This window comes from Homo sapiens, chromosome 1, assembly GCF_000001405.40.
Source record: "Homo sapiens chromosome 1, GRCh38.p14 Primary Assembly".
NCBI lineage: Eukaryota > Metazoa > Chordata > Mammalia > Primates > Hominidae > Homo > Homo sapiens.
Genome location: NC_000001.11, coordinates 238,435,552 through 238,459,408, shown reverse-complemented (window position 1 = coordinate 238,459,408; position 23,857 = coordinate 238,435,552). Strand labels below are relative to the sequence as shown.

The 23,857-nt window shown below is 33.2% G+C and overlaps 1 long non-coding RNA gene across 2 annotated transcripts in view; it reads right to left on the bottom strand.

Moving 5' to 3' along the window:
• Nucleotides 1-14,425: 14,425 nt before the first annotated feature.
• Nucleotides 14,426-23,857, bottom strand: part of LOC105373220 (uncharacterized) — a 121,907-nt gene continuing 112,475 nt past the window's right edge. For both annotated transcript variants that reach the window (XR_949308.3, XR_949311.3), the window contains one exon: nucleotides 14,426-14,673. This is a non-coding gene — a long non-coding RNA (uncharacterized LOC105373220). The remainder of the gene's footprint in view (nucleotides 14,674-23,857) is intronic.

Sequence of the window (23,857 nt, the reverse complement as noted above, 5' to 3'; positions counted from 1 at the left end):
ATGGCTTTCTGTCACTCAAATACTCTCTCAGACATTGGCACTATCAAGCATTTTCGAGTATGTGAAACAGTTGACCAAGAGAAACAAATGATTTCTGATCAACTTATACAACTGATGCCAGATGTTCAGCTAACCGGAGAGTAACTAGGCAATTTAATGCTTGCTTTCTACAGTAGAAAAACAGATGTCTTCCTTGACTCTAGGAAAGGTAAGTTGCCTCTCTCGACCAGTAAATACTTCAGCTGCAGCTTTGTAGCATAGAAACGCTTTTCCCTTACCAGCATTGTGATGAGGCTTTGTTCCCTGGGCAATCTTTTCTGTCGCTGAGGAAGCACCCCATGAAGCCTGCTTAATGTTGAAATGAACCAGTTCCAACTGAATTTATTTCCATTGTACCACTTACAATAGTTTCAAATTATCTTTTTCATACACACTCCTTCTCCCATAGGATCCTGTAGAATAGAGTAAGCAGTGTGGGCAAGTTCAAAAATGCTCGGCTGCTGAGAAATGTTTTCTTGCCTGAAACATCTCTGTAGCAATGCTTGCTGAAAATGCTGTTAATACAAACAATTCAGCAACCCTGGTATTTACTCACGTATTTGCTGGCAAATATCAGTATTTCTTGGTAAGAATGGAAAATTACATTTCTTAATTTTTAATAGTCTTGTTGGGGGGTTAAATTAAAAACTATTTGCCTGAAAGACTATAAAATTCCTTCAAGTAATACATTTGCTTAATATTAAGCATCTGATTCTTCTCACATAATAAAAGTTGACTCCAATATGCATGCTATTGAAATATAGCTTATGGAAACAGCAAAGGTAATGTAAAGGACATATAAGATGTTCAAAGTATAAAATTATTTCTGTATATTTATTACGGAGGGTATTTTTGGCGAGTCAAGAACCTAATATAATCTAATTGTATGTTTATCAATGTTATTCCAGTTCTAGTTGATTTAAAGTACAGTATTCAAACTCTTACTTTCCTAATTCTGGACATGGCCTGAAATCATGTGAAAAAAATGGAATAATGGTTTGGGATTTGTTTTTCTTTTCTGATAGATAGCAGTGCTAACATATATTGAACATATGAGGCTAATAAATATTTTTTATGTGACAGAAAGAATCAGGTCAAAACAAAAGGTAAAGTGATTTTAGATTTGCTAAGAGGAAATATGATTCTTTCAGTGAGACAGAAAACTAAGTAAATAATTAATACATTCACAAGTAAACAGAAGATAAATTGATTACTTATATCCCTAAAGAGCACAGAGTTCTGTGTGGAGGATGCTAATTCACTTCTTGAGAGTGTTCTAGACAGACTTTTGATTTTGTGTGTTTTCAGAACAACCAAATTTTATGTTAGAAAATGTTGATTTAGCTCTTGAGAACTTCTAATAATAAATTCCAAAGGTTTCATTATTTCTTTAAACTTGCCAATGCTTTATTAGTATAAGATGTGTCTTGTGTTATCTTTGATCTTTCTTACTCATCAACTCTAGGTATTATGTAATCTTCTTGAGACAGTAATGCATTTGTTATTTCAATTTTCTTTTGTTGCCTGGAACAAATATTGGCTCAAAGATGCAAATCTGTACAATTAAATTTGAGGGAAAAAAGATTAGTACATTTTCCTTTAACACTCAAATGACAAGGGAGAGAAGCAACAGGCACCAACATGTCTTCTTGAAGTAATCTGTACTAGTCAGGTTCTTCCTTCATCATATCCTTTTCCTGATCTGCTTAATGGAAAGAAATGGGACTTTCCTTTGACTTTCTAAAATAATACCTACCTATTTTTACAACATGTAATATCTTGAAGTAAGCCTACTTCCTTCATTGGTTATTAAAGTGCATATGCTGAATTTAAATTAAAATATCAAACGATATATCTAATATTCATTAGCTTTTCTTTGAACTAAAATTCCTCCAGAGTACTTGAAAATAATGTGTTCTAGAATAGGTTATGCTCTCAGTCTATGATTTATATTTATTCTTATGTTCCTCTATAATATAATATAATATAATATAATATAATATAATATAATATAAATAGGTTTATTCACCTTGCTATAAGGATCACGGTTTATTCATTAGTAACGTCCAGATTTACGGGACTAGCAATTTTGGCATGTTTGCTTAGCTCGCATGTCTGAGCTTAGATGGGAAAGGAAAGTAGGCTCTTAACATATCAGCATAGAAAACTGTCAATTTTAATTTATTGGGATTAACATACACAAGTTAATTTTTGCTCTCTTGGTTACTATTGTAGATAAATCAAAGCTCAAGATTTGGAAAGGAGCTACTTTCCCTCAGCACATTAAGCTTCTTAAGCAAATACACACTTGGCTACAATGAATGCTATCCATTTAAGGAAACGTGAAAACAGTGCTTTAGAATTTTATTTTTAAAATGCAACCTATTATATATCGTTAATGTTTAGTAATTATCAAAGAATATTTGGTATGCTAGGTAGTTGGTATTTCAACACACTTTTCTATTTGTAGAAACATATGTAAGCCTATCTCTTTAAAGATTGTTTTTCCATTTGTTATTCCTCAGGATTTCATACATCATTTTATCTCATTCTGTATTGAGATAAAGTATTTTTATAGGGCAAAAAAATTGTGGGTTGCATTTTATAAGATTCTCTCAAATATTTTCAAATTGAATTTTCAAAGTAAGAATGGGGAAGAGATGAGTCACAAGCTTTCAGTAATGGAAGTAACTTCATCAATATTCTCATTTGACACAGGCATGAAAGGTGCATGTGTCCAGTCACATAGTCCATTATTGCTCATCTGCATTACCACCATCAAAATTAAAGTCATGGAAGTTTCCAGCTGATAAAATGCATTTTCTTCTACTATTTTTATGTATGTTTCTCAAAAACCTGAACCAAAGTTCACTTCACATTACTTCTAATTTAGCAAATATTTAAATGGATTTCTACATACCATATATAGGATTCCACAGCTTTATATAATGCTGGTACTTTAATATTCCAGCATAATTTTTAAAATTTGATGTCTTCCTATTGTTTTCAAACAAATGCTTCAGGGTAAAAATATAAATAGGTGCAAAAGGGGATGGAGATTACTGACAAATGAGCTACAGAGAGCAAACACCAAGCCCACTGTAGCAAATAGTGTGGGTTATTTTAATAGTTGTACACATAATTCTATTTGGAAACTCCTTGCAAACCTGCTCTCAAGTTGCAGATCACAATAAGCAGCCTGAATTTCAATAACAGTAAATATGCAGCAGGGCCAAAATGTGATAAATAATCTAATTTTTTCGAATGTTAAATTTAATTTTTGATTCCCATTGGATGGTGCTGGAATGCATCACCTACCCTCCCATTGCATCAAAATTTCTGTCTAATATCAGAGAGAAAATAGGAAATACACCTTGGAGGCCTGATTTATTCACTGGTAGCAGCAATTGGGTAGCAGTTTCCTGATAATGCATTTGCATAAATTATTAGGTGCCTCTCTCAGGTTCACAGAAGGTGACGTGGAGGATTTTGTTGCAATGGCTGCAACATGGCCCAGATCTTAGAATCACCCAGTTCTGCTTTTAAGATACATGTCTCTGTCTTTCAATATTTCTCCTTTAAAAAATATCAGTTTTACAGAAGAGATGTGTTGGAAGAGATTTATTCATGTGATAAAAAGATTCCTCATTAAATCAAAGGCTGCACCACATTTTACTATCTGGTTTCCTTGGGGTCACATGGTATTTTACAAATAATTTATTATTTTTAGAAATTCATCTTAAGGATTTCAAAGTGCACCAATACTATCCTTGGTTTTGAATAGATATGTATGTACCTAGATTTTCCACAGTTTATGTTCTACACGACATACAGCAACATTATATATGGTTGAAATATGGGCAAGGAAATGGTCATCAGCAATTTGGAAATCCACAGTCTAGAGAATTAAAAGTATTTTTTGCTTACTTTGAAATTATGTGATTAAATGATAAAATGAACATAAGCCTCAGTGGAGTGTAGCCATGGTATACTTGAAGAGTTTTTATGTGACAATTCTTTAAATTTGACAGAACTTTCAGGCTTGCACTTACTAAATACAGCTCTACAAAGGAATTATAGCCTTGAAATTAGAACACTAAAAATGCACGAGTGACTTATTCACGAAAAATAACTGCATAATAACGCATCCTTGCATTCTAATATCCAAATATTCTTTCTCAAATATTCAGCCTCTGCAACATCTTCTCAATGATTAAATATCCATGTTTTAAAAGCTTTTACAGAGGCAGTGTGAGATACTGAATGAGAATTGCGATCTGGTTGAACATTCCTCTGTCTTGATTGTCATTGAATAATGAATATTTACACTGAGAATTCATATTGTCAGTGACTTGAAATAAAAGAGCCTCTTGGAGCATTTTTCTTTTTAGTCATAGTTTTCTAAGCAATTAAAAATGAGTTAGAAGCTGCATTATAAATGGAAATTCAGAAAAGTTTTAGAATCATACATTGTAATGCATTATACATTTCATAACAGTAATAAGTTCATTTATATGAATAAGGATGAATACAAGACTAACATAGACTGCAAAGAATAGTTAGTGTATTATGATCTTGCATTTTATTGCAGAATAATGAATATTTGTTTCTACATTTGTTTAGCTCATTTTTAGCTAACTTAAAAGCTCACACAACATATACTTTTGGCATGCAAAACATTTTCACTGTATTCCATATTTAAGTTTACAAAACAATTTTTAAAAGTCTAGGTAGTTAGGGTATGCTACTTAGGATACTAATAATATATTGTGTCACAGCCATAGTCCACTTTGACTTCTAAAGCTATAATTATGTCCAAAGTTTCTAAGAACTTCTTAAAGTACAATAACAAATTCTATAAACATAGAATTTGATGATAGAATTTATTGAACCAGTTTGAATACATATTTTATGTAAAAAACTTTCCTTTTACTTTCATTTTATATTGTTATGATTGTTAACAACAGGGTGAATTATTATATAATTGAAATTTCTTATTGACATTATAAAATAAAAATGGATGCCCTTCACATGTACATAGCTGAGTATTTTATTTATCACAAAACACACTAGATCCATTTATTCAACAAACAAACACTATTGAGAATCTACTAAATGTCAATCATTGACTTAATCACTGGGAAAAAAATACTGTCCTCACAAATCTCAGAATTCTCTTCAGAAATATTATTTTCTATCAGAAAATAAGAAAGCCATGTGCCGTAACTATCATCTTTGTATTAGTCCATTCTCATGCTGCTAATAAAGACATACCCGAGACTGGGTAATTTAGAATGAAAAGGAAGTTTAATGTACTCATAGCTCCACATGGCTGGGGAGGCCTTGCAATCATGGCGGAAGTCATGTCTTACATGGCGGCAGGCAAGAGAGCTTGTGCAGGAGAACTCCCATTTATAAAACCAGATCTCAAGAGACTTATTCACTACCATGAGAACAGTATGGGGGAAACTGTCCCCATGATTCAATTATCTCTACCTGGCCCCACCTTTGGCAAGTGGGGATTATTACAATTCAACATGAGATTTGAGAGGGGACACAGCCAAAGCATATCCATCATCATAATCAAATACTCACGATCTTATTGAAAAATCATTAGTAAAAATATATTAATGATTGATTGAAAACAAAGAGGAATCCATTTTCCTAGCTGGAACTGATCTGTATTATTTTCCTTTTGTTTTGTTTTGTTTACAGATTTCTCACTGAGAAACTCCACATTTATTTGTGGACTAATGGAGTTATTTTGTGTCACCCCACTAGAATATAAGCACATAATAGGTCCATGATACATACTTGTAGGATAAAAGAAAGAAGCTATCAATCAAAACATAGCTTGCTTATCAAGGCCTGAGGTCATAACCTTAGAGACACAGATTCAACTAAAAACATACCATAAAGGCAATCTTCTCTGATGGTTACTGTTTTCCTAATAGTTCCTTTATAGTTTTTATTGGCTACTATTTTCTCTTTGAAACATTGTTATTTTTGAAGTCCAAATATTTTTAACATTTTAAAAGAAACATTTTTTAAAAATCTGTGGGGATTGCCAGGGGAGAATATTGAATCTAACAATTTTTTGAAGAGGGTGCATTTAAACTGTGAAAATACGATTACAGCAGTATGATGGGACAGTGTCAAAATAGCAAGTCAATACTATTTATCAAACTGTCTATCTATCTATACAAGTGTATAATTTATTAGTGTTGTTGGCAACCTGATGGATTACTGTATAGGTAGTTAAGATAAAGAGATTGACTATGTTTGAGATATAATCATTTTGATTAAAATGTGGGGTATCACTGTTGCCCACAAAATTTAGGATTAGCCCCAATTAACAGAGTCACATCTTATATATTTTTCATCACAAATGTATAGATTAGATTACTATTGTAACCCAAGAAAATAAAGGACAAAAACTGAACCGACTCTACCGAAGTCGGTTGGTAGATTTTAGGCTCACCCTACGCCTCTGGTCATCATCTCAGTAATTACATTAATTTAAACATACAAAAGGTGAAAGAATTTTTTTATTCATTAGAACATAAAAAGGGGAAGGGTGACAATTTAATAAGAAACATTTACTTTAGTCCTACCTGTTATCGGATTCCCAGTTCGAATGTTTAATTAGACATATGTATTTAAATATATTCAACTCTCTGAAACAGCTCCTTACTTTAAATTTCTAAAGAACTCATTTTCTCAATAATCAATAAATGCTTAATATATGCTATACTTTATTGGTATGAATAACTTAATGAAATTACTAATTTTACACATGTAGCTTTGTACTTTTTACCCTGTCAAACTCAAAAACATTTTTTGTAATATTGGGGCTGAAATGCCTTTTGTAGCCCATTCCAATCTTTAAAAGAATCAAAGTGAGAAAATATAGCACAGCAATGTAAAATTAAATCATATAACCACATTATCCCACAAAGCAAATCCACATTTCACAGTTTTTCTATTTTCTTTGGTCCATTTCCAGTGGGGCTAAGGAAAAAAAGGTTATCTTCTTATGAAGATGGTTGGGGAGAACTTGTGCCCTGGATTGTTTGGTAAATTAATGGAAATTACTAAAATTCCCAACCTACTTCTTCTATGAAAATCTCATTTCACCATAAAAGAAATGCTATATTTTACTCTCATAAAACGTATAATTCCAGATTTCTGAGTCTTACAGTTAATAATTAAAGCTTATTTAATTCATAGTTGGAAAACTTTGTAATATATTGCGAAATTTCCAAACTTCTGTTGGCACTTATCATGTTTGCCCAGCAGTCTTTTTCTGTAGAATGTACATAACTATTGGCACTGTTTCAGATATATTCAATTCATTAAACATATGGTCGATAACTACTGTATTATGCTTTTAGAGATAGGGACCCTTGGCAGATGAAGCTGCAATATCTGCGGTAGCCTCAAGCATATAATTGCTCCTTGATTTCTTTTCACCAGGAAAAAAATGTCTTATTATTGTACTAAATGAATATTTTATTTTCCTGGCAGCTTGCAATGATAGCCAGACTATCTGTTTCTGGCCAAGATAAAGTCACCCCTCTTCTTGTGGTCTCCTACATGTGATTATATTTTATATCTTATTCAAGACCATTCCACCTAAGAATTTCTCTTTTGGACACTATGTCTGGGCTGTGGTTTCCAACCTAGATTATGGTTACCATTTACCTGTGGAAGTTTTCAAAATATGTATGCACCAGTTCCATAACAGACTACAGATTCAGAATATTTAGATAGTTCCATTTTTAAAAAGGATTCAATGAAATGTTTTTGCTATGTGTTATGTAAGTTTTTCCTTATATAAATAATTCTGAGATAATTTCTTAGTTATTTTTCTTTTGAAATAAATCAATACTACATAAACTGTAAATTGATTTATGCTCATAAATCATAATCACGCATGTATTACCAGTTCTACAGATTAACTTTATGTATTAATGGTACACCAACATAATAACACAGGAATCTTAATTATCAAACATGTTACTTCTCATTTTACTAATTCAGATGGTAAGAAAAAAACATCTATTTATTGCTGCAAACATGAATAATTCATGTGTTAATGTAGAATAATTTTTACATTTCTGATTATGCATCATAGTTGATGCAACCCCTTAGGAATGCCTGACAGTGGAAGTATTAATGTGGCTAGGCATTACATACATTACATGTTTGACTTGAATGCATATTTTACAACTTGTATTTTATACTTTCAGTGATCTCCTATGGTAGAAAAATAAGTTATGGCCCATTGTAACTGCTGTTTACAGTTTAGAGACAAAATTATATAGAAACTATGCAAATGGAAGAAATTGGCTATGGCACCCACTGCTCATGCTTTGAGGCAGTATTCATAAATTTCATTAGCTCAGCTGTCATTTCAGCCCATAAGTGAATTTAAGAGACTTAAGAGATCAGTGCAATCAGTCAAATTTTCTGGATTATGTAAGCAAAATAAAAATTTAATAAAAATAATTTTAAATAACTTATTGTAATGTTCATATTGGCCACAAACATTTTTTATCAACTTCTTGATGATGTGTAAATGCATTGGCTATAATTAAGACATAGAGATAATATTACTCATTTAAATTCATTAACTTTCTACATCCATTTTAATAACTTCCCCATAAATAATATCTAGAGTTACTCTTTCATCAAACAAAATGACTTACTTAAAATTAATTTTATTTTTTCTTTTTAGAAACAAAGACATTATGACAAAACCTGAACAGCAACCATATCTGAATTCCTCTTAGATTGTGAGACCTCGACTTGTCATCATTTAAACATTGTGAAATCCAATAATTAGGAAGCATAGACTTTGTCTCTTATTTTATTTGTACCCACATTGTCATTTGGTGTAATCTGCAGGTGAGGCTCATGTTAGATACTTGAGGCAAGAATTTGAGATTTATAAGTATAATTTTTTAATATTTAAATAAATTAGCTTGATTTTTATAACTAAACTTAGATAAATTTAAAGCAAACAAACGTTAGAATATTGAAAGAAAAAAATGAAATAGAAAAAAGATTAAGTCAGAGTAGGGTTTGTAATAACCTTATTATATATACATATACTATATATAAGTAATATATATATGATGTATAGATAGATCCTACTCATTGTTAATATACAAAATGGACTACTAGTGTTATGTGATAATAGCAGACAATAGAATTTTGTTTATCCTAAACAAATTATTTTTGTTTTAATGCCCCTGAGGAAATGTATAAATATGTAAACATATGTATACAGAACTTGTAAATGTATATATGTTCTGTATGTGGAATAGCACCACCTAATAAAAAATAAAGTCACACTTTATCAATAGCTGAAACCTTTCCTCAAAATTCACAGTAGAAGTTCAATGTGCTTAGCCACAGAAAACAGAGATATCCTTTTCCTATTCCAAGAATGCCTTCCTTAAATCTCAAACTAACCTTGGGTCTTAACAAAGTATTGGGAGGAAAAGTGAAAAGCATTCTCACCAGCTTGGTAAGAACAGGTAGAGAAGACTATGTACGATAGCTCAGGATGTAATGTGTGGCACTAAGAAATTAGAAAACTGATGCTCATATGAGTATATTATTGAAAATAATATAGCACAAAATATTGTAATGACAAAATAATGTGTATTGAGGATTTAGGAGTTAGAATCAATGTATCAGGGATATCAAGGATTCAGTATAAAAAGAATGCCACATTTTGAGGCTTTACTCATTTATTGCTTGTATTCAATACAATTGTTAATTACTATGTTGCTTTAGTTAACAATTTGGTTATTTAGATTGCAAATAATTAAAAATTATTTTATGACATTTTATGTTCTAGTGCTGTCTATCCATGCTTAGCATGTAGGATGTGATATGTTGCCTTTCTTTCAAAACTACTTCCAATTTTAAAATTCATTCCATGTAAATTGCAACCCATACTCCCCTAGGATTAATGTGGATACATATATATGCATATATTAAAATATATATGTGTATATGTATAACTCTGCAGTATGAGGAATATGCTTTCAGAATCCCTCATAATACAAAGTTATCATTTTGAATATATAGTCCCTTACTATGTTGAACATTCTAGGAAAAATGTAAATAATTAGTGGAAAAACAGATTAGCAGAAAAGAGGAGATGTAACATTTTGGAGAGAATGCATTAATATGAAAGAAAGTAACAACAGCTTATTGTAAATGGTTCTGAGACTCATTATAATTAATATAAACAATATAAAGTTTGATTAGGAAATAGAAAAATATATTCTAAACTCTTAATTCTGTGCAGATCTTCAGTTTCTTAAGCAGAAAAAATGTTTTCAATGGAATAGGATTATTTTATAAATCATATGTATGGTTTATTTGCATTTTTATTTGCCAGATATTTCTTATTGAATTTAAAAACATTAACACACTCAGGAGAACTATACACTTTTTGAAACACCAGACTGGTTGTGTTAGGGGGAATTAATTCACTTAGGGCAATGCCATCATTTTCTCATTTGAAACACTACTAAATGCTGTTTATAAATAAATAGTTATTTTAACATGATAAATTTTAACTTAGAAAGAGGCAAATGCTATAGAAAAATAGATATGTAAATAATATATATGTGTGTATGGATATATACATATAGGTATGTGTTATATATCATATACATGAAATATTTTACATATATCCATAATATATAAAAATGTATATATATGTACACATACATATATAGATCACATTTATAGGTGCATAGAAATGATGTCAAACATTTTTAGGAGAAAAAAGACATTTTTGATCAATTTTATTCAAAATATGTCAGAATCATTTTAAATTTTATAAGGCAGCTCTAGAGAATTTTTGTATGAGATAATAAGAAATATAGATTGGATGTGACATTATTTGATCAAGTATTGAAATGTAGGGTAAAAATATTGTGACATAAATTTGACAGGAACACACACACACACACACACACACACACACACAGAAAAAGAAAGGGAGATTTGGAAATCCCTATAGAATGAAACAAAATTTATTTTAAGTTAATATAGAGTACGTAAAATACAAACTCCTCTGAGGAATTTGTATTTTATGTTTTTTCATTATTTTTACATTACAATAATGTACACAGTTTATGAGCGCATGAAATGAATATATGCATGAATGAATTTATTCAATAATCAAAAATTCAATTAACAATAAATTATGACTAAGATTCTTACAGAATAAATGATCTTTAATGAAGAAAGTCAACTTCTCCCAATGCTGTGAAGGAAACTAAAGAATATAAGGCTTTGATAGATCTTCACCAGGACTGATAACCACACTGAAACTTCAAAGAGACCTTATGAAAGAGTGGAAAATCCAATGCCTGAGTTCATACATAACTGTGTTGTAGCAAGTATATGATTTAATGCGGATGTGCCTGCCCCATCTTTCTCCAATCTAAAAGACCGTCAATATAGGACACTAGAGCTTGAGGGACCCTAGAGTTAACAAGGCAGAGAACTTACTCAGGGCAGGATAAAGGGGCTTGTACAGTATAAGACGGCCTCTTCAAAGAACAATGGGAGTACTGGATTGCTAAATCCGAAGATCCATCTCTACTAAAATTTTTGTATTTTTAGTAGAGATGGGGTTTCACCATGTTGGCCAGGCTGGTCTCAGAGCTTTTTCTATTCACCACTCAGGTGAAGCTTTACTTTGCATTGCTTGTATTTGGGGAAAATAGCATACTAAGTAAAAAAGTGTCATCTTTCAGTTGGAATTCATGCTAAATTTGCAAAGTTTAATTAATTTCACAGGCTGTAGACAGAAGAGGCACAAAGGAACCAATCCACAGCTTTCATTAAAGGAGCACAGAAAGGAAAAAGGAAGGAAAGGGAAAGGGAAAGAGTGAGGAAGAAATAAAGAATGGTAACAGAACAGACAAAACAAAATTTAGCTTTTGTTTGAAAATTAAGGTTTATTTTCCTAAACACCATCATCCTATCAATTATGCAATAAAAGTTACCAATTATTGATAGTTTACTATATACTGTGTAATTTTAAAAATTACTGTTTTCATCAGCCCTCCAAATACAATATTAATTCCATTTTTGAGCTGTACTTGTTCAAGGAAAACTCCATTGCTGTAGATAGTTCCGCAACTACTCTGGCTTTGAATGTCAGAAACTCCGGCAATAGCACACCCTAAATTCAGAATGTCTATTTAACTTTATCCAGAAAATGGATTTCATTGAATACAGATGTTCTTACATTACTATTTAAAATCACTATTTACAGAATATAAGTCTCATGTCTATGCAATAATTTTTAAAAATGAGAAATGAGCTATTGTTTCAAATTTTGAACAATTGCATTCATAATGGACAAAATTTTCCTGATACGTGAAGGAAGTTCAAAGGAAGTGCTCAGGGCAATTTCCAGTTCCAACTGTGGGAGAAAAACAAAGCACCAAATTGTCCTCTAACTGGAAACAACTAGAAAGCTGAAAAATATTAAGAAAGAACTCAAACATTGGCCAATTTGTATCATAGGACTATGTGACTGTTAAGAAAACAAAAGAAAATGAAGAAGATTTTGCCACTGCTGATACTTCAAACTGGAGAAAACTGCTGCATTGCAGCGCAAAATGAAATCTAGCATCCCTAGGAGACAAGGAGAGGGCCAGATATCTAGGATTTGAGGAACAGACATTATCAGAGTGTGTCACTGAGTTATTAGCAGACCACTAATCTGTGCATGCATAGAATGAAAACCCATGCCACCTAGCAAGAAATATTTCTGAGGAAAAAACAATTACCTGGAAAGTGTAGGGTTAGTAATTCCCATAGCACACAGACGGCCAAGAATAATTTAAATTAAAATGTATTGAGCACATGGGATCTATAGTAGACACAGCAGAATGGCCACATCGTAGAAATATAACTAACTTAGCCTTAGAGTTAAGATTATTCCAAACCCACCAAAAAAGCAGCTTCAAAGCAAGCCTCAAAAGCATACAGGTAATCTAGAAGTCACTTATCTATTGGCCAGAAAATATTCTAGAAGGTAAATATTCTAAATTGCTATATATATACACACACACACACACACACACACACACACACATACACACACACATATATATACACACATATATATACACATATATATACACACACATATATATACATATATACTCACACACACATATATATACACACACATACACACACACACACACACACACACATATATATATATCAGATATATATATATATATGTATATGAGACAGAGCCTTGTTCTGTTGTCCAGGCTGGAGTGCAGTTGGGCGATCCTGGCTCGCTACAATCTCCACCTCTTGGGCTCAAGCCTCAGACTCCTGAGTAGCTGGGATTATAGGCACCCACCACCATGCCTGGCTAATTGTATTTTTAGTAGAGACAGGTTTCACCTTGTTGGCCAGGCTGGAGAACTCCAGACCTCAAGTGATTTGCCTGCCTCCACCTCCCAAAATGCTGGGGTTACAAGCATGAGCCACCACACCTGGCCAGAAATTTGCAATATTTTTAATTTGAATTTTTTAACTACTGCACATACAAACAAGAAAATTAGACTTACGATTGGGGGGGAAATAGTCAATAGAAACATAGAATTGACAGAGATGATTAAATTATCAAATAATAACATTAAAAGAGTTATTATATTTATTTATATGTACCAAAAAAATGGAGAACTGGACGTTACAAAAAAGAAACCAAAAGCAATATCTAAATATAAAAATTACCCAATTACTACAATGAAAATATTATTGGATAGAATTAACCTCAGATTATAAACTACAGAAATAAAAATCAGTGAATTATGAGTGGGAACTAGACAAGGATTTCAACTCTCATAACTTTTCTGTATCATTGACTCAAGTTTTTGCCAAAGCACTGAAACAGGAAATTTTCCTTGATCCCTTTTTGGACCTCGTGACAAGGGTGCCTACTTACTCAGCCTGCAGCTCTCAAGCCCTTGAGGGAAGGGGAAGCACGCAGGTGAGCGGGTGCAGGAGCCAGAAAGAGTGCTTTTGGGTGTTGGCAGGAGCAAAACTCCCTGCAGGCCCCATGACAGTGTCTCGTCAGGAATACCAGGGACCCCAGAAGCCCCAGAGGGAGTGTGTTACAGTGTTCTTTTAGCTTGGCTGTCCACGGACAGCTTAAGTGTTAAATACCTCAGTGGGCCCTCTGCCTTTTTGCATGAAGTGGTTGCTCTCTGCCAGCAAGGGCAAAGGGTCAGTGTGACAGCCTTTAGTATCCACACCTGTGGCACCTGGGCTCTTGTTTGGCATCCAGGAAAAATCAGGTCGCATGAACGAATTGAAGGGTGGTGAATATGGAGGATTTTATTGCCAATGAAAGTGGCTCTCAGTGGGAGGGGAGCTGGAAAAGGGATGGAACAGGAAGACGATCTTCCCCTGGAGTCCAGCCATCCCCAGCCAGACTCCTCTCCAAAGCAAAGCGGTCAAGCTGTCCCTCTGAAGTCAAGCTGCTTCTCTCCGACGTCAAACCGCAGTCCCCGACGTCCAGCTGCTTTTCCTCTTCTCCCCTTCTCTGTTCTCTGCTGGTGGAGCCTGGGGTTTTTACAGGTACAGAATTGGGGGCAGAGCAAGTGAGGGGTGGTTTTGGAAAAGGCAACATTCCAATGGGAAAACAGGGATGTAAAGTTCTCACTCTGGGCCACAGTTCCAGGCTTGAGTGGAGGGGAGCTCTCACCAAGGACCCTGCCCTTTTCTGCCTGGAATATCTCTGCCACCTGTCCCTATCAGCACTACGGGGAAAATGCATAAATAAATATACTAAAATAGAGAGATCAGAATAGATTCACATAAATATAATTAACTGCTCTTTGACAAATGAGGAAAGGTAAGTCATTGGGTAATAGTCTTTTCAATAATTGGTGCAGAAACAGTTGAATATCAATATGAAAAGAAAATCTAGACGTAGACTTTACACCTTTCAAAAAATGAGCTTAGAGTTGATCATAGACCTAAAAGTAAAATGCAAAACTACAATATTTGCAGATGAAAATCTAGGAGAATGTGACCATGGATTTGGTGGTGAGTTTTTAGATGTAACCTCAAATGCATAATTTATGAAACAAAAAGTTGATAAATTAGGCTATATTAAAAGTAAATACATCTGCTCTGCTACACACAGTGTTAAGAGAATAAAATCATAAGCTAGATATGGGGAGAGAGTATTTGCAAAACACATACCTGATAAAGAACTTGCATTTGGAATATACGAAGAAACTTTAAAACTCAACAAGAAAACAAACAACCGAAATTTAAAATGGCCAAAATATAAACACACACGTCACCAAAGACGTGCAGATGGCAAAGGATACCTAACATCATTTGTTATCAGAGAAATTCAAATTAAAACTATAACAGTTTCTGAATTCAAAAAAACGCTGACATTGTCAAATGCTAGTGAGGACCAAAAGCATCAGGAACCCTCATTCACTGCTGATGAGAATGCAATATGGTGCAGCCACTTTGGAAGACTGCTTGTACGTTTCTTACAAAGATAACACAGTCTTATCATAAAATTCAACAATTGTGCTTCTAGGTATATAATTCAATTGAATAATAAATTGAATTAATTTTGAAGCACAAAATCCTGCATGCAAATGTTTACAGTAGCTTTGTTTATAATTGCCAAAATCTGGAAGCAACCAACATATCCTTCAATAAGTCAAAGGCTAAACAAACTGTAGCGCATCTATGCAATGTATTATTCAGTGACACAAAGAAAGGAGTTAGTAAGTCACACAAAGACTTGGAGGAACTTTACATTCATACTGCAAAGTGAAAGATGCCAGCTTGAAAGAGCTACATTACAAATAGGTAAGGAGAGCCTCCTTACATATTTTAAGTTTGGCTTAAAAGTTTCTTTGCACATCATGAACTATAACTTAAATGGAATTTTATACAGACTGAGGTCTACTTTTGTGCCAATCACTAAATTTTGGCCAATCAAAAGTAGTCAACTGTTCAAACCATGTTCAAATAAGGCAAACGCCAAACTGTACCAATCTGGCTGTTTTTGTACCTCACTTCCATTTTCTGTATATCACTTTCCTTTTTCTGTCCATAAATCTTTCACCACATGGCTGTGCTGGAGTCTCTGAGCCTACCCTTGCCCAATTGGTGAATCGTTCTTTGCTCCATTAAACTCTTTTACACTTAATCCGGTAAAAGTTTTCCCTTTAACAGAGGATGTATGACATAATAGATTTGTCAAAACCCATAATGTTTATAGCACAAAGGGTGAACCATTAGTAATGTATGGAAGTTTTAAAAATCAGTAAGAGGCCACAATATCTCAGGAAGAAAGGCAGATTGTGACAACAGAATCTAACGGCAGTACAAATGTACCAAACATCCTCAATTAAGGGCATGGAGAGATTGGAGCCAAGGACCCAGCTAAGCTGTGTCTGGATTCTCGATCCAGAGAAATTGTGAGATAATAAATGTGGGGTTTTTTTTTGTTTTTGTTTTTGTTTTTGGATTTTTGACGGAGTCTCGCCCTGTCACCCAGGCTGGAGTGCAGTGGCGCCATCTTGGCTCACTGCAAGCTCCGCCTCCCGGGTTCACACCATTCTCCTGCCTCAGCCTCCCGAGTAGCTGGGACTACAGGTGCCCGCCACCGTGCCCAGCTAATTATTTTGTATTATTTTTTTAGTAGAGATGGGGTTTCACTGTGTTAGCCAGGATGGTCTCAATCTCCTGACGTCGTGATCCGCCCACCTCGGCTTCCCAAAGTGCTGAGACTACAGGCGTGAGCTACCACGCCCAGCCTAAATGTGTGTTATTTTAAGCCAGTAAGTGCGGGGGTAAGATGTTACACTGCAATAGGTAACTAAAAAAGTCAATGATTTATCCTTTTATCTGACTAAAATGTTTTGCAAATGGAGAACTCACAGTCTGCCATGATTCCATTTTATACATTCTCTATTTCAGTTAATGCCTTCATGTTCCGATAAGAAACCCAAAGTCTACCTGAATCCTCTGTTTTATTCCAAGAAGTATCTCACTAAAAAATGTTACAATAATCTATTCCTTCCTCTTCATTTCAACTACTGTTAGGTTAATTCAGGCACTCATGATCTCCCACCCATCCTATGTCCTCTGTGCTGAGAAGGTTGATTGGCTGACCCAACTCAATTTCAACTTTTTTCTTCAATCTGACTGAAGAATTTAGAAAGCTGAAAATACATTTCCTAGACTTCCTTGAAGCCAGGAGTCTGGAATCTCCATGGGATCAGCCAACTGGATGCACTCACATGATCTTAGGAAGGCGAAAGTGTGGCAGAGGCAATATCCCTTACTTTTAGCAGTTGGTTAGTGTTGCTGTCAATCAAGGACAATGTGGGCTAGAGGCAATCTTAAAGTTCTATTATTTTGGAAATCATTTGTGGTAGCCTTGCCTAGAACAAGCCCCATTAGCCAATTTCCAACGTTATTGTAAGCCCTTATTTTCTGTACTAATTCCCTTCTTGATTAAAATACCTAGAATAGTTTCTATGCTACACTGACTCATTACTGATAACGTCTCCAAACTTTGAGTGCTGTGTCTGTCCTCTCACTCAGCCCATCCTCTACTTGCTTCCAAAAACAAAACAAACAAAACAAACAAACAGAAAATAGCTCTGTTACACCTCTGCTAAAACTTTCCACCGGTCATTTATTGTCTTATAATATCCTTGTTCTATAAAAATGGGTCCATGACTAGTTTTGAAGGTAGAGAGAAAATCATATTCATAGTTTTTTGTCATCAGAACTTTGCATAGAGTAAGTGCTCAATAAACACCAACTGGATGAAAACATAGATGACTTCATGATTGCTTTGATTAATGAGTATATAGATGGATGGAAAGACAGATGGATACATGAGAGAATAAACCGGAATTGCTATACTAATATACGCACATTTCTCTGTCTTTATAATATTTTATTATGGAATATCATAGATTCTGTTATGCAATTGTGATGGAAAATAAATAAAATGAATGCAGGAAGCACTCATTAAATATCAACATACAAACTTGATTATAACTAATATATTCATATCATCTTAATTTTCCAAAGGGATTTTATGCAGCTTAATTCATTTAATTTTCACACAACTGAAGTTACAGTTTTTTAGATATTTTTATCTCCAACTAACATATGAGGAAATTCAGGAAGCTCAAAATAAAATGACTGAGAATGACAAATAACAAAGTGGGAATTTGAATGAAGTTTTTTCTTTTCTTGAAAAATCACATTCTTTTGGCCTTATATAAATTTTCAGTATGTCTTTCAACAATACCTCTGTGTTTTTCCTTATAATATTTAGTGTGATATACATAATGGTAGCCTTCCCAATATAATCATTTTTACGTATATTGATTTTTTTAGTGCCTTAGGAAATACTGTCAAAGAGGTTCACTGCTATTAATTACATGTTAGGTTAATTTATTATCAAATTGTTCCTAGAGTTTTCAGTATTAGGAACGACATTAAGCAGTTTGTGTAAATATTATCATCTCCTTTATTTCATTACCAAGAGAGTTTTCATTTAAAACTAGTCTTATCTCCAGTAACATTTCTTTAGTTTGGTAGCATTTGGATTAGAAAAATTAATAATTAAATGAAATTTCTTCAATAAAATAAAATAACTGCTTTCAAGTGTTCCACTAAAAGCAATGTCTAAAGTGCTTAAATTACTTTGATACATATAATTAAAGATGGATGGGTGAATGATATTCATCTGCCACTGAACCATACCTCCCCCCAGCCCCCAACGCCACACACACACACACACACACACACACACACACAACTGTCTTTGGATCACAGATAAACATTACCAAAAGACACTGTAAGAAGTAAAACAAATGTATTCAGAATAAGTAATAATGAGTATAAGATATAGAAGATGAAAAGAGTATTAGAGTACATATAGTATCTTGAAGAGCATCAATTAAGAAGAAATCTATAGGAAGATCTATGATAGTATCCACAGTGCAATGGGGACATGTGAAGGATTCTTAAGGGAAAGGCAACAGTCAACTGATGACAGAGAGAAGAGTACTATTAGCCTAAAGCTCACTGGGCATCTGATGGAGTTTCATGTTGACATTAGATCAATTTTTTTGTTCATTAAGAAGGGGAACAAGCCAGTCATGGAATAAAGGTAAAGAAGAAAAATCACTTAAAATTATATTTCAATTACATAATTGGAATGTGATTAATGACGTGTGCATGACTACAGTCTTGCCAATCTGAAGATGAGGACATTTACATAAAACTATTAGAGAAAAGTTGGCCAAGTGCATTTTGATGTTTATAATTAGAATTAGATAGTTTATTGAATTTCAGCTGTCCACAAGACAGTGGGAGTGATATAAGCTTGAAATTATTTTAATCAACTACTTCATAAAAAAACCTGTGGATAATTTAGTATGCTTCACCTTTTTAAGTAACTAGCTCATAATTAAATATGGGGCTTTACAATGAAGAACAAAGATTTGGGTTGATAAATAGAACAAAATTATGTGTTAATCAACTGTGTCAGAGCAATGAATTGAAAGCAATCAGATTGCCCTGATCTTATGGGATTAGGCAGGCTGAGGTGCTGGCAGGCAGAGGTAGTCAGCATGCTGTAACTGCTATTCTTAATTGGTCTGGGGCAATGTGTCTCAGTGTGCCTGCTAATCCCTCTATAATATCAAAGATCTCTTATTCTTAGGTTGGTTGTGAATCAATTCATGGTGTTACAGTGAAAGCCCTCAAAGGGCTTTTGATTAAAATAGAATTTAATCAATCATTGAATGTGCAAATGAGAAAAGTTTAGGATTTTTTTGTCTGTGTGTTTTTCCCAAAAAAGACAAGGAATAGAATTTCTGGATTATGTAAGGAAATATCCTGATACTTCAACTTAAGGGGGAAAAGTATAAAATAGAATTATGTCATGTACATAGTTGCCTTTGATAAAATGTTTACATATTTAAGGAAGAGCTGAAACACACGAGAAAATGCATGGAAATAGAAGGTAGCATATTTCCATAAGTAGATGGAATTTGACAGGCAAAATATAAATAGGAAAAAGTTCAAAAGTGGACAAATAAAAATCATAGGGATCATAAGATTAGTTGTTTTACATAGGTTTGGTGAAGAGAAGTAGGCAAGGAAGCAGAGCAAAGCAAAATGGAAATGAGCAATTTAGTTGGAGATTAACCAGAGTGACTTCAGTGACCAGAACAAATCCATCATTAGCTATCTACTTATTGTGTTTTTGCTCTTCATATTCACTGAAGCAGAACATCTATATTTTTACATTCTCGTAAATTATCTTTCCCAGAAGTTAACTTTATAGTTTTGTAAACAGTCAAATAACCTTCTCCTCAATTTCTCTTTATTTTTCAATCATTCTGAAGTACCATTAAATGATTTGCTATTTAAAGTTTGCCATTCATACTCTTTGGAATTATTCAATTATCTTGGTATTCCTTGCTGATGGTTGAGAGAGTTCGTTCTCATAATTGAGTTCCTTTTATCATTCCATTTTATGTTTATTAAATTATCTGAAATTTCCTGTTTCAAATTCTGATAGACAAAACGATTATATAATACTAGCTTCCTGTTTTAATTTCTCCAACTCAGTTTTGAAGACAAGGTATTAGAAACGAATTATTTCAAAGTAAATTCCAAAACCCCACAGGCTCCAATTTACTTTTAGGTTTACATAATTTTAATTTAAGGGGCCATTGCTTCTTTTCCTCCTGCTGTGAGGAATACATGCCAACTCCATTCTCTTACTGATTAACCACCCTCTCCTGCAACCCGGGTGTGTGTGTGTGTGTGTGTGTGTGCACAGAAACACACTATTTGGTAGTTAATTATAACTGAATTTCAATCTGTATACTGTATTGAAAATTAATCATTACATTTTTCCCTTTTTTGTAGTTACTGAAAAAAACTAATTGTCTTTGTGTGTATTATTTATCATGATGACTTTATCAAACAGTATGATCTGGTCAATCATATATCTGAATGATGATCACACTAAACTAGTCGGGAGGTAATTTTACTGAAGCCATGTCTAGATTTTTATAATTTGTTTAAAATACGTGTTATAAAAAATACCATATTGGTCTGCATTAGGGAGAATACAAAGCAAACCATTTTTTATGCAATAAGGAAAAAGGTTATACTGAGTATAAAATAGAATATGTATTCTATTCCTTCTCTTCATCTTTTATTTTTCTTCCTACCTAGCCAGTAAGCTTCATTTTTCTAAATTTCCAAAGATCACCTTGAAGGAAAAAAATATGCAATGTGTCAACAGGCGTATTGTAAAGGTTGGGTGATTACGTGCTATGGTTTACTCAGATACCGTTGTACATGGGTTATCTGCTCATTAACTCCCAAGAGGGTGTAGAAAACTGAATAGAAAATCTTCCATTCTTATATACATTCATATATATCTTATATACATTCATATACATTAAGAATGTATAAAGTAGAATGTGTATTATATTTGTAATGAGAAAAAAATTTACTTATAATTACAGACACTTCCTAACTGTAGAAAACTCAAGATGTCATGTACATATAGCAGTCAATGTGAAAAACAATGGAGTAATTGAAAATTTAAACACAAGGTAATGCAGATGAATCTGTAAATAACAGCTTCAGTTAAAATTAAAGTCAAACAAAAAGAAGGAAATAAACAACAAATAGATCTTTTATTAAATAAGCCAGACTCCATATTTATAATATAAAATTATATTTATACTGTATACATAACCAGCTGGCTTTTCATATAATAAAAAACTCATATGTTTATAATTATTGTTTCACAGAGTTCCATATACATGGAAATATTTTATCTAACATTATCATTTAAAAGTTTGCCAAATACGTTGTCAGTTACTTGCTTCATTTTTTTTCTTTTTATCAGTTTGTAAGTTATACTATGATAAGTGTAGGCATAGTAATTATTTGTATACTTAAATATTTTTACATATTAAGCATATCTGTATACACCTCTCTTGCAAATTGTATATGGTGATAACTCAACCTCAGAAAATAATACCACTGGAAAAATTGCATACAAGCATAAGTAAACATTATTTAATGTGGCATAATTTAAATGGATAACTGTAAATTCAACAATGATTTATATGTATATAAATTACCATATAAATATCTTATATATAAGCAAACTAGTTCAAATGAAACATAAAATACATTAAAATATCCACTTGAGCTTAGCTTATGAGATAATTAAGAATTATTTAGATTGTTATTAACCAAATAATCTTTACATCTGTGGATTTTTATCCTTCCCTCAATTTCTTTTATTTGTCATTAAGAATTACTGAGAGTCACTGACTACTTGATAAAAAAAATAAATAAGGGTTTTCTCACATTATTTTATCACAAATTGAAACAGAAAGAAAAATTTATAGGAATAAAAAAGTCTGCAAGATTTCCTATTCAGTTTTCTACACCCTCTTGGGAGTTTAGCGAGCAGATAACCCATGTATAATGTATCTGAGTAAACCATAGCATGTAATCACCTAACCTTTACAATACGCCTGTTGACACATTCCATATTTTTTTCCTTCAAGGTGATCTTTGGAAGTTTAGAGAAATGGAGCTTACTGGCTAAGGTAGGAAGAAAAATGAAGGAGGAAGATAAAAATTTATTTTGCAGGAAACAAAATATAAAAAGAGTGAATTCCAAGGAAAGCTATTTTACTCATCCATGACTCCATGCCTAATAATGGATGTGGAAAAAAAAATAATTGAGATCATTAGCTCTAGATTTTGCAAGATTGAGATTTCCATAGAAATGCACACAGTGAATGAGAATCATGTTATTAAATTACCTCTATGGGACATAGCTCTCCAGGTGTTTCTGTTTGCTTGCTTGTTCTGTTTGTTTCTAATACTCAGAGTAGCATCAGAAGGAGTACCAGATACTCCAGAGCAAAGCCCCACATCTGTAGGCAGGCTGATCAGAGTTGGCTGCAACATCTGTACCTCAGCTACTTACAAATTTGACTCAAAAGAATTTGAGAAATCTTGTGTTTTACCTCAGCAGATCTCAGTCATGGCTTTGGGACATTCTGATGTATTATGCTCATTTGTAAGATATATTGGGACTAATTTGTCACAACTCATAAAATATTCAGATTACAAATTAAAGAGTTCCTTCCATTAAAATGGTTTCAGAGCAGTGTCTCTTAAAAAGACATTCTCAATTGGGTAGAGCTAGCATGCTGCAAACTGGCACCTACCTTAACCTTTATTTTGTTTCTGGAAACAAAGTGTCCTGGAATTTAGCTTTACCCACCTGGGTGCATTACAAGGGGAACTTCATCTCCTATATGTATTGCAGTAATAAAAAGGGGATGTGAACAGCTAATCTGAGAAGCCACAGAGAAAATAAGGTAGATAGATAAGTGTGTACAAGGATATATGTATGTGAGTGTACACTAGCATATATATAGAGATATATATACTTATATATGCTATATGTGTTAATATACACACATACATGTATGCATTCGCTTTTTGAACCTCCTTAATGTTTTACTATGTTGTTCCTGCCACAACAATATTTTGATCTCTCTTGTTCACTGGTGCTCCTGGAATCACACCTGGCACCATATTCAACACTCAGTAAATATTTAATTTCTAAGTAACTGACTAAAAGAAAGAATGAATGACTTTGTCCTAGAGGAAAGTAGAGGTT